Source organism: Homo sapiens, chromosome 2 (assembly GCF_000001405.40).
Source record: "Homo sapiens chromosome 2, GRCh38.p14 Primary Assembly".
Classification (NCBI taxonomy): domain Eukaryota; kingdom Metazoa; phylum Chordata; class Mammalia; order Primates; family Hominidae; genus Homo; species Homo sapiens.
In genome coordinates, this window is record NC_000002.12 from 8,658,384 (window position 1) to 8,670,888 (window position 12,505).

Here is a 12,505-nt window from a genome sequence, read left to right on the forward strand (position 1 = left end):
ACTGGCTATGAGGATACCAAAAGATCCCGAACGCTCAACTGTGGCCCTGACGGCAGAGCTGACAGCTGCTCCGGTGCCAAAGTGTCTCTTAGGTCCAATTCTACTTACCCATAACTGCAGGGCCACAAGTCACTCTATAAATTGTGCCCCACAGTGGCCAGGCATCAGGCGTGGCTCATATCTTGTAATCCCAGCACTTTGGGAGGCTAAGGTGAGAGGATCACTTGAGGCCAGCAATTCGAGGCTGCAGTGAGCCGTGATCATGACTGCACTCCACCCTGGACAACACAGCAACATCTCCAAAAAGATATTTAAATGGTGTCCACAGATAAGTGTTGAGACAACAGGGCACGGTCAGCTCTATCTGCTGTCAGGACGACGTCGCGTGTTATTTACGCCTGGTTGGAACACGTCAGGGGGAATATCTTAACACATCAGATGCGTGTACTGGGCATGGGACCGTCTACCTGTGGGACCTTGCCCCCAGGTTCCCTGAGAGGTGCCAGGCTGGGGACCTCATCCAGTTCTATCTCTCTCAGTGTGGCACAGGCCTCAGTGAGTGGACATGGGGTGCACATTTCCCCTTCAGGAACTGTACAAAAATTGAAGAAAAGGAACCACACACCCCAAATTCAAAGAAAGCCTCCAACAATTGGAGTTGGAGGCGTTCTCCAAACCCCTTCCCCACTTCCTGACAGCCCCCTGTCAGCCTTGAAGAAGAGGAAGGAACAGGCCAACCTTGGGGACCCCGCCTGCCCCCAGGGTTGAGCAAGGCTCTGAGGGCACTGCTCCTGGAGACCAGGGCTGCCCCAGGGGCAGGGGCAGGGCAGAGCACCACCCTCGTCAGCAGCCTGTGGCCTTGGCCCGTCCTGTCATCACTCCGGACCTCTATTTCTCAACCGTAATTTTAAAAAAACAGGACACCGTGGCCTGTTTAGGGCTTCTTTTTGGCAATAACATTTAAGTCTGGAACATGACAAGCTCCATCTCCTGGTCTGATAAAACAGCAAGTACCACCCCCAGAATTCTGGACAACGTCCACCCCTCGGGCCCTGGACTTTCACCTGCACCCTGGCTGCTGAGCAGGCCTCTGGCATCATCTCCCAACCCAGTCATGTGTGGCTCCAGGCCTCTGAGCCCAGGCAGGCTCAGCCACCCTTAGCTGGAGGCCCCGACTAACACACAGTTCCCTCTTCTTCTGCAGGCCAGCCCCAGCCTCATCCCTGTGGTTGGTTGATATTGGTTTTAAGCTATGGGTGACAAACTCTCTGTTCTCTGAGTGTGCCTTCAGGACATGATGTCACCCTCGTTGAAGTCTGAATGCCCAGGAAAGGCTGCCTGAGGGGTTGGACTGGATTGTCGTCCACCTGCCCATCTGCAGAGCTGCCAGGGCTCACCCGCTTGGGCAGGAGCACAGTCCCTGGAGAGCTGGTCAGAGCAGACCATGGGCTGTCCCCAGAGGCTTGAATCCCACCGCTCAGGCTGGGGCTGGAGCGTCCACATTGCTGACGGGTTCCCCAGTGGTCTGGACGTCCTGGACCGCACTCAAAAATTGCCGCCCTCAAGCATCCGGGAGACAGGTGGTTCTGGCTCCTGGACACTGCTCCACCTGCCACGTCTGGGATAAAAGCCCCCTGCTCTGGGCCATCACAGTGGCGCTGTTGAAGGAGATCACAGAAAGCAGCCAGTCCAGCCCAGTACAGGCCAGGCTCCAGGGAAGAAGAACAGGCAGGGGCATCCAGCCCAGGGGAGCAGGGACGGTTTCAAAGGAAGTGATATCTGAGGCTTCAAGGACAGAGAAGGGTCAGCCAAGCAGCGAAGGGGAGGGTAATGGTGTTCCCAGGAGAGGAGCGGGCAGGAGTAAACATCCACCCAGGGCTGTCCTGGGAACAGCAGGTGTGTGTGGCTCCACACAGATGGCTGGAGCATCATGGGAGAGGAGCAAGAGATGGAAGCTGAGGCTGGACAGTGGGCTGGCTGGACCCTGACAGGCTTCAGGCCGGTCGTGGAGTCTGGACATCAGCGTGCAGCTGCTGTCAGCAGACGGGGCTGGCAGGGCTCACAGAGGCAGGGCTGACATCCAGTCTCAGGCCAGGGCCAGAGTGACTGTCCACAGGGAAGAGGGGACAGCCCCAGGTATCTGGGATAGAAGGAGGAGGGCAAGTAGGGAAGAAAATTCAGAACTCACATTTTTTTTTTTTCCTGAAACAAACTCGAAAAAGGTACTGTCGGTTAAAAAACAAACAACAAAATAAAAAACAAATAACAAAAGAAAACTCTGACCCTGTGGGTACCACACTTTTTTTTTTTTGAGACGGAGTCTTGCTCTATCGCCCAGGCTGGAGTGCAGTGGTGTAATTTCTGCTCACTGCAACCTCCGCCTCCCGAGTTCAAGCAGTTCTCCTGCCTCAGCCTCCCGAGTAGCTGGGATTACAGGCACGCACCACCACACCTGGTTAATTTTTGTATTTTTAGTAGAGACGGGGTTTCACCACGTTGGTCAGGCTGGTCTCCAACTCCTGACCTCGTGATCCACCCACCTCAGCCTCCCAAAGTGCTGGGATTACAGGCTTGAGCCCCTGCGCCCGGCCTGTACCACACTTTTAAAGAAGCAATTGATTATAGACGTTTTCTTGCTCCCTACGGCATCAAATGTTTGGTGTCACTGTGTGGTGCTGCAGACCCATGTGTAGATGGCCACAGCCTGCGTGCAGCTCTGGGGGTCTTATACCTCCATGTCCACACCACCCTCTTCCTCTCTTACTCCTCCTTGGGCTTCCTGGCCCAACTAGTTTCCAGTATACTAGGGTATACTTAGACCTTCTCAATGCCCCATGCTCACTGACTTGGGGTGCACTGGAGACACTGATCTCTCATTTTAAAATAAGAATCAGTGAATAGGTGGATGTGAGGATTTTCCATTCACCTTCCAGGTACGTCTCCTGCCTTCAATCCTTCAATGCTCTGGGCCATGCCCTCTCACGATAGGGGAACAGGGTTGCAAATGGCAAACGAGGGAGGCCCTTCTTCCAGGAAGCCTATTATACAAGAGCATTCCAGGGCTCACTGGTGCTGTCCTGCGAGCCACAGCAGGCTGGCGGGGGACAGCATGACCCAGGAAGGGTGCCTAAGCCACCTGCCTTCATGGCCAACCCTGACCCTGAGGTTAGAGCATCCCTCAAAACATCTCCACTCGCACATCTCTCTCTCATTCCTCACTCCCAGATCCTTAAAACCATCAGCACAGAGCCAAGACATTTACAAACAAAACAGTAACAAAAACCCAAACTCTTCCAACCTTCAGACTCCACTTTAGGACCTAAAAAGCAACATCTTCCAAAGCAGAGAAAAGTACTTCAGGGGAAGAAAACTCCAGACTCTGAAAGGCGGGGAATACAGTGTGTGTTGTCACATGAACACCAAATGCCAAGAAGCCATCTCAGACAAGGACGCCAGCCCACACCAGCTGCTTCTAAGAGGCTGCCCTTTCCCAGAGGCATAACACCATGAGCCTAGGAACACAGAGGGAAGAGGTGCTCCCAGCAGCTACGTTCCAAAGAGCGGGGCCAGGACGGCCCCACCACAGGACTCACAGCATTGAAATCCCATTTGTGGAGGCTGCCAAATGTCAGCATCTGCCCTGGCCTTTCTCAATTGCCATAACTCCACGCGGCTGAGAAAGAAACAGAAGGGGAAACTCCACCAAACTTAAAAATTGGGAATAACTGTACTGCTCCCTGCAAACACATAAAGCTGATCCAGCCACGGTGGCAAGTACTTCAAACAGAGCCGCTTCCTTCTTAGCACTCTGTTTTATCTTTTTATTTGTTTTTGAGACAGGGTCTCACTCTGTCACCCAGGCTGGAGTGCAGTGGCACAGTCTTGGCTCACTTCAACCTCTGCCTCCTTGGTTCAAGCGATTCTCCTGCTTCATCCTCCAGAGTAGCTGGGACCACATCTGTTTTATCTTTAAACTGAGGAGACACGCCCCTCCGCCCCTCTCCACATATACCCTGGCATCCTGTGTCTTCTCTGCTCTCTCAGGGCCACCTTCTGAGCAACAGATCCCCACGGCAGCCCCAGAGAGCGGAGTGGGGGTGGGGGGGATGGCTTTGTCAACTTGTTCTCATTCTTGAGCTGACGATCTCTCCGTTTTGAGAGTGAGGAGATCTAGGCCTTTTTCTTTTCCCTGGCATGTTTAATTTACAATTACTGTACTCAGGCAGTGTGAATGTTTACCATATGTTGGTTGTGTGGCAAAATATTCTGGCTCCCAGAAAAAGTCTGGTAGCTGAGTCAAGCTGAGTCACTCACCTAGAGAAGTCCTGAGGGAGGTCATTAGAGGTGGCTGGGACAGGCACGGTGCCTCCCTGCCTCCTGGAGGAGGAAAAGGCAGAGCTGGGAGTCAGATCCAGATGGGTGCCCCAACCGGCTGGAGCACAGAGGCTCTTACAGAACACCACGATTGTGTTGGGATTGTATGCACTAGAACTTTGCCTACAGAGGAGAAAAAAGCCGAGTTGGAACCAGGGCAATGAACAGGACCAAAGAAACTCAAGGATGGAAATGGTAACAAAAACGCAAAGCAGAACTCAGTCACCATCAAAACACAAAGATCACTTCAATTTAGTATTTTTTAAATGTGTCCTTCATTCTAATAGTATATGGTTTACATACTAAAGTGAAAGAACTTATTCATTTTGATGATAAATCATCATGTTTTTCAATGAAACATGTGACAGGTTAATTCCTGCAGTTTCTGCAATGTCCCCAACAGTTAGGACCTCCATTCTATCATAAAATGGCCACTTTTCATCACCGTATGGCCATGACTACTGAAAAACACAAAATGTCAGGAAAAACTAAACCGCTGCTGCTGAGTGCCTGATGAGCGCCTGAAGACAGTGGCTCACAAGTGGTGTGTGCTTAAGAATCAGCTGAGGAATCTTGTCTAAAATGCAGGTTCCAAAGCCACACTTCCAGCTATATGAGGCTGTTCTCACACTGCTATAAAGAACTGCCCGAGACCAGGTAATTTAGAAAGGAAAGAGGTTTCATTGACTCACAGTTCAGCATGGCTGGGAGGCCTCAGGAAACTTACAATCATGGCGGAAGGTGAAGGGAAAGCCAGGCACCTTCTCCACAGGGCAGCAGGGGAAGAATGAACGCAGGAGAAACTACCAAACACTTATAAAACCATCAGACCTCGTGAGAACTCACTCACTCTCAGGAGAACAGCATGGGGGAATCCGCCCCCATGATTCAATTACCTCCACCTGGTCTCTCCCTTGACACGTGGGGATAATGGGGATGATGGGGATTACAATTCAAGATGAGATTTGGGTGAGGACACAGCCAAACAATATCACTACCTCCGTTAAAAAGCTGAGGGTCTGCAGAGTGTTTCTCCAGGCATGATTAGAGGAGTGCCCAGGAATCTTGTGAAAATTTTAAATTCCTTGGCCTACTCCCTACTCTACCACAGATTCTGATAGGATAGGCAGGGGTGGGGGCGGGTCTACAAATCCATATTTTCCAGAAGCTTCCAGGCCTTTCTAGTGAGGTTTTCCTGGCAGAGCTTTCAAGAACACAAGAGTAAAATCCCATTACCAGCCAGATGACCATCAATTCTGAGCCAACATGAGAAGGTTGTTTATGGGTTTTTGTTGTCCCGCTCCACATAAGAATAACTTTCCTCACTATTTCCCTCATACTTGACTGAAAAAAGGGAGCGGGACGGGTGCCGTGGCTTTGCTCCTTGGTCTCTTGGCGGCTCTGCGGCCTCAGACGTGTTGCTCGCCTCTGCCTCTCAGCTTCTTCCTCACGTCACACGGAGCCTGAAGCACAGCTGCTTCCTCAGGGCGTGCTCAGGGCTAAAGGCACACCTCTTGCCAGCCCAGCCAGTGCCTGATGCCCTCCTGCTCTTTGCTATCAAGTTCTAATCCCTGTGAGCAGAGAAATGAACAGCAAACTCCATGAAGGGGACTTAGCATCACCGCTCGAGGGGAGAGTGAAAAACTACTCACACTGCCGAGAAAACTTCAGGTTAGCTGAGCATCAGCCATGTGCAGGCACAGACTTCAAAGACCCAGGAGAGGCTAGAGTAATTCCAGCACTTTGGGAGGTCGAGGCAGGAGGATCACTTGAGCCCAGGAAGCTGAGGCTGCAGTGAGCTATGATTGCACCACTGCACTCCAGCCTTGGTGACACAGCAAGACCCTGTCTCAAAACAAGCAAATAAACAACAACAACAAAAAAACATCCAGGAGAAATGGAGTGTGTCGTCTTCATGGAATGAGAGCTGGAGTCACGGGCCCTGGAAGACAGGCATGACGTGGGGAGGAGCTGGTCTTTAGGCAAGGGAGCCCCCAGCCGGGGAGGTTCCAAGCACTTGTCACACATCCGCTGACTTACCTTAAGGGCACAAAGAAGTCATGTAAATGCTTCAGACTGTGTTACCTCCAGTTTTCAAAGTAACTGACATGCCACAGACCACAGATGGCAAATGTTTCCTCCACAGGGCCTATCAGGTGACTGTGGCTGCCCGCACACTGTGTTAAGAAGGATTGTGGGCCGGGCGCGGGGGCTCACGCCTGTAATCCCAGCACTTTGGGAGGCCGAGCCGGGTGGATCATGAGGTCAGGAGATTGAGACCATCCTGGGTAACATGGTGAAACCCCATCTCTACTAAAAATTACAAAAAATTAGCCGGTCATGGTGGCAGGTGCCTGTAGTCCCAGCTACTCGGGTGGGGGAGGCTGAGGCAGGAGAATGGTGTGAACCCGGGAGGCCAAGCTTGCGGTGAGCCGAGACCACACCACTGCACTCCAGCCTGGGCAACAGAGCGAGACTCCATCTCAAAAAAAAAAAAAAAAAGGATTCTGAGCAGCAGTAAGGCCCCACCAGGCCTGCGTGAAGAGCGGCCACCCTCGGGCCCCGGGTTTGCCATTCTCACATTGGCAATATCCATGAATTCAGGGATGTGAGTGAGCACATCTTCTGACACGTTCCTCCAAAAAGTCAAGGATTCACCCTGGTAACTCTAAGTCCTCTTGGGGCAGAAACTCCTTTGACACTCAAAACACAGGTCCTTTCTCCACTCACACAGAAGAGTTTGCAGGCAGTTTCCTTCAGCATACGAACCCCAGATCTGATACAAAAGGACAAATCCTGTATGATTCTGCTTATATGTGGTACCTAGAGTAGTCACGTTCGTGGAGACAGGAAGTAGAAGGGTGGTTGCCAGGGGCTGCGGGGAGGGGAATGGGGAGTGGCTGTTTCATGGGCAGAGTTTCCATTGGGGAAGATGAAAAAGTTCCAGAGGTGGATGATGGTGATGGTGGCACAACGTGAATGCACTTAATGCCACTGATTGTCCATTTAAAAATGGCTTAAATGGGCCAGGCGTGGTGGTTCATGCCTATAATCCCAGCACTTTGGGTGGATCACGAGGTCAGGAGTTCGAGACCAGCCTAGCCAACATGGCGAAACCCCATCTCTACCAAAAATATAAAAAATTAGCTGGGTGTAGTGGCTGGTGCCTGTAATCCCAGCTACTCGGGAGGCTGAGGCAGGAGAATCGCTCGAACCTGGGAGGTGGAGGTTGCAGTGAGCTACTGCACTGCAGCCAGGCCACAGAGCGAGACACCATCTCAAACACACACACACACACACACACACACACACAAGGCTTAAATGGTAAATTTTATGTTATACACATTCAAGCACAAGTTTTTTTGAAAAACAGCAGATCTGCAAAATGCCACTCCTAGGTCTTGTAGCTTTGTTCTCACACTGACGAGCATGCCAGTTTGTCTTTGCTGGGGAGTTGATCAACCCTCAGGGTTCCCTGTGCTTCCAGCAGTACAAAGGCCCAAGCTGTGTCTCAGACACCAGGCTCATAGCTCCCTGAGGCTGACCCCATTCGTGATCCTGGATGGGCCACGCAGGGTAAGGACGACTGGGCTTTCTACCTGAAGCTCTCGAACTGCACTCATGTTCCATAAAGAACCTCATCTCATCTTCCGAGGGGGGCAGGATTGTTTCTGCTGGCATTTGGTGCCAGGATCCCAGGTTGACTCCAGTAGTCACAAGTCCCAGGTTTTCTCAACTCTAACGGAGGAGCCCAAGCAAAGGGACACTCCCAGAACACCCGGGAGGCTTATCCTTCCGCCGCTCCTTTGGTTTTCCTTGGACTCTCTGCTTAGAAACCTACAACGTGAAATCCAGTCATGGAAGCAGCCACAGAACAGTTGTTTCTTTCTGGTCAAATTTATTACATGATAAATTAGTATATTGTTATACAATCATTTCAATATAGAGTGTATAACAGCATGCACATCTCTGTCCCCCAGCCCAAGAAACAGCACATTCAGCATGCACCACTGAAGCTCCTGGAGTAAACCTCCAGCCCTGGTCCTCGGCCCCCGCCTGGAGAAGTAACCATGTGGATTCAGCACTCCTGGCCCTCCGCACTGCTCCATACTTTCATACTCACGTTGGAAACAATGAGTAGTGTTGTGTTGTTTGTTTGAACACTCTGGATACACCAGCATCATATTGGACATATACTTCTGTGGCCAGGTGGTCTTCTTCCATCCTTATGTCTTTTATCTTCATCCATTTTGACGTGTGCAGCTCTAGTCCATTTATTTTTACTGCTCTCTAGAACTCCACTGTTGGGCACTCCCACATTATCCCCTCTCCCATAGATGGAAACTTAGATGTTTTCATAATGACAAACAAATGCCGCAGTCAACACGTGTGCACATTCATGCGCATGCCCATGGCTGGAACTGTGGGGTCAAGGATGGGCACATCTTCAGTTCTACTCAGAATGCCCCTTTGCATTCCAGTGTGGTGGGATTGATGCCCATGCTCCCTGGCAGTATTGGAGAATTCCCACTGCTCCACATCCTCACCAGATTACCAGATTTTCTGTTGTCAGACTTTTTAATTTTTGCCAATCTCATGGATGTGTTGCGCCATGGTAAACCAAGTCCTAACAAGGGCCAAGAGGCCTTAGGCCAACACCATCTGGCTGCCACAATTCCACCCCCACACCACCCCACTGTACACCTTCCTACACTTAGTTCCTATTCCCTTCCTGGACTCACCGCGTTTCTGCCACCCTGGCCTCGATGTTCCATGTATGTACCAGGCACTCATGCCTTGGAACTTTTACACTGGCTGTTCCCTCTTCCACAAATGCTGTTACCCAGGTACAGTCATGTTCTCTCCTTCCTTTCTTCAAGTCTCTGTGCAAATGTCACCTTCTCAGTGCAACCTATTGGGGCCACCTTATTCACAACTGTACCCAATCCTTGCTCCTGGCACTTCTCCTTTATCACCTACACCTTTATCACCTTCTAATAACCTATGTGATTCACTCACCAATTTTATTTCTTTGTCTCTTCCCACCAAAATGTAATATCCAGGTGGTGAGGGATTGTTGTTGATTTTGTTTCCTGGTATTTCCTAAGTTCTGAGGAGAGTGCTTGGCACATAATAGGCATTCAGTAAATACTTGCTGAACACATGGATGGATGAATGGAAGAATGGATGGAAGGATGGAAGGATGGATGGATGAAGTGATCAATGGATGATGGGATGAATGGATGGATGGATGAAGGGACGAAGGGATGGATGGATGGTTGGATGGAGCAATGGATGGATGGATAGATCAATGGATGGATGGATGAAAAGATGAATGGATGAATGGATGGAAAAATGGATGAAGGGATGAAGAGTAAATGGATGGATGGATGGATGGAGGAATGGACATATGGATAAAGGGATGAATGGGTGAATGGATGGATAAAGGGATGGATGGAAGTAAATGGACGGATGGATAAATGAATGGATGGATGAAGGGGTGAATGAATGGTAGACGATGGATGAAGGGATGAGTTGATGAAGGAATGGATGGATGAATGGGTGGATGGATGGATGGACGGATGGATGAAGGGATGAATGGAAGGAAGGAAGGATGGATGGATGGATGGATGAAGGGATGAATGAGTGGATGGATGGATGGATGGACGGATGGATGAAGGGATGAATGGAAGGAAGGATGGATGGATGGATGAAGGGATGGATGGATTGATGAAGGGACGGATGGCTGGATGGAGTGATGGATGAAGGGATGGATGGATGGGTGGATGGATGAGGGGATGGATGGATGAGGGGATGGATAGATGGATGGATGGATGTCTTAAAGCTCAGTCATTTGTGCTACTATTCACACTGGCTGCAATTTGTGAGCTTGGAAAACCAGTCCTTTTTTCCAGCCTGAGGTAAGATCTGATTCTTCACAAGGCTGTTTCACTACTGACATGTTTTCATCAGATACGTTTGCATGTTCATTAACTCATGTAAACATTATTAAAAGGACTATGTAAACAGCTTCCTACACGTTTCCTCTTGCTTTCATTCAGGTATAATTATATGAAAACACAATGTACCATATGTGCCAACGGGCCATTCCCTTTCTTGTGCTTCCAAACGACAATTCCCCTCTGCAAACACACTCAGATACCAGGTCTTTACATTTCTCCTTCTACTCCAAATCTAATCTGCCTTCTGAAGACAAAAATCTCAAAGCCCCTGCCCAATGATATGGCAGCCAACAATGTCCATTCTCACCCTAATATGGTCTAGGAACTCACTCTTACCTTTAAAAGTGCTTTGCAAATTGTAAAAGGGTATTCAAAAATGGTTACTTCCTCCTTCACTGTACCCTTGTCACAACTATTCAAATAGTCATAAACATTCAATGCTGCCAAACATGATGGTGGTTTCCAATCCTCTTCACCCTACCCAAGTCCAACATGTCACCCCTCCAATAGTCACTATGTCCCCTCACACAGGAAACATCTCAGAAACAGGCATGAGTGTCCTGACAGCTGCAGAGGAATAAGTATGCTGAAGGTCACTGAAAGTGACTGGCCAGCAGCCTCTAAATCAGTTCTATTTTCTTCCTGGCATACTACTCGTCTAGATCTTCCAGCCCCCTCCCTTGCAGTTAGGTATGGCCATGTGACCGAGTTCTAACACAGTGGTTCTCAACCAGGACAATTTTGCCTCCCGGGGACATCTAGCAATGTCTGGAGAGGAGGCAACTGTGGTTGTCACAACTAGAGGAGAGAGGAGAGTTCTATGGGAATCTAGTGAGTCTCTGAGGCCAGAGAGCATCCTGCTGAACATTCCACAATGCACAAGACAGCTCCTCACAACAATAAACACCATTCACAGGCTTTGTGGCTTTGTTCTAACTCTGATTAGCCTTTGGCCAGCTCAAATGCCCATGGTGCCAAAACCCTACACTCACCCTGTACTAATAGTTGAGAAACCCAGTTCTAACCAATGGAATGTGAGCTAATGTGTTGGAGCCAATTCCTTGCCTGATCCATAAAAACCAGCCAAGTGCAGTTGTCCAAGCTCTTTCCTCTTCCTTAGTCTGGGTGGAGATGATCCCAGGCAACTTGGAAGCCACACGCCGAATACAATGGGGCCACAAAAATGGGAAGAGCTTACATCTGTCACTGCTTGAATGAGAGCTGTCTGCCCATCAGTAACACACATTTTACACTACGAAATAAACTAGCATGTTAGAGATCTGGGTTTGTTCAAGATACCAGCTGGCATTAGCTAACTCAGTCACAAATACTTTTGCTTGTTTTCTTGAATAGATTCTCCAATATATGGAGCTCCATTTGAGCCAACATCACCTGGGGGACATCTGGATTGGCCAGTCCTATTTCAAGTGGGAGAGGGATCTCCAGGGTACATTTCTCTGGAAATCAACTTATAACTGATATAACGAGCTGGCTTATGCAAAGACACAGGAGGGGTCTGTGGGCCCATTTAAGTCTCTGAGGAACTTTTGAAATTGGTCCTCTTTAGATAAGCTCGCTACAGTTCACCTCTGGCCATTCTAGTCCTATAGGACTTCAAATTTGAATCTCTATACTCTATGTGCTGCAAGTTTAGTCGAAGATATCTTCTCTTGCCCAGTTATCTTAACCAGTCAGAGCTTAGTAAAAATAAATGCAAGTTCCTATTTCTTTACAGATTTACTATATCTGTCATAAGGCGTTTCTGCAATTGTAGTGATCGTTTACTGAGGAGGTTGCTAAATTTAGCAGATGAAATATAAGGACATACTCATACTAAGAAAAATTATTCTATTCATTGTCCAGCCAAAACTTAAATTTAAATAGGTTTCCTGCATTTTATCTGGCAACCGTATTTACTGAGCACTTATATTTTTCCAGGTACTACATCTGAGATACATTCAAATCCTCAAAATAACACTGAGCGGGGCGCCACTATCGTCTCCATTTTCAAATGGGGCAAGAGAATGCAAAAGGCTAGGTTCTCTCCCTGGGCCACAGCCCACCTGCCATTGGCAGTGCTGGGATCCCAAAGCAGCCAACACATGGGCTCTTCTCGCCTGGTCCAATGCTCAGAGGTGTGCCCGCAGGCAAGATCTGCTCAGGGAATG

General features: G+C 49.3%; 1 annotated feature.

The window, feature by feature from the left end:
- Positions 3,867 to 5,066: an enhancer, noted in NCBI's record as "MED14-independent group 3 enhancer chr2:8802380-8803579 (GRCh37/hg19 assembly coordinates)". NCBI's record gives its function as "activates an origin of replication core promoter dependent on BRD2, BRD4, P300/CBP and CDK7 cofactors, and independent of MED14, by STARR-seq in HCT116 cells {active_cell/tissue: HCT116}" and the evidence as "EXISTENCE:reporter gene assay evidence [ECO:0000049][PMID:35650434]".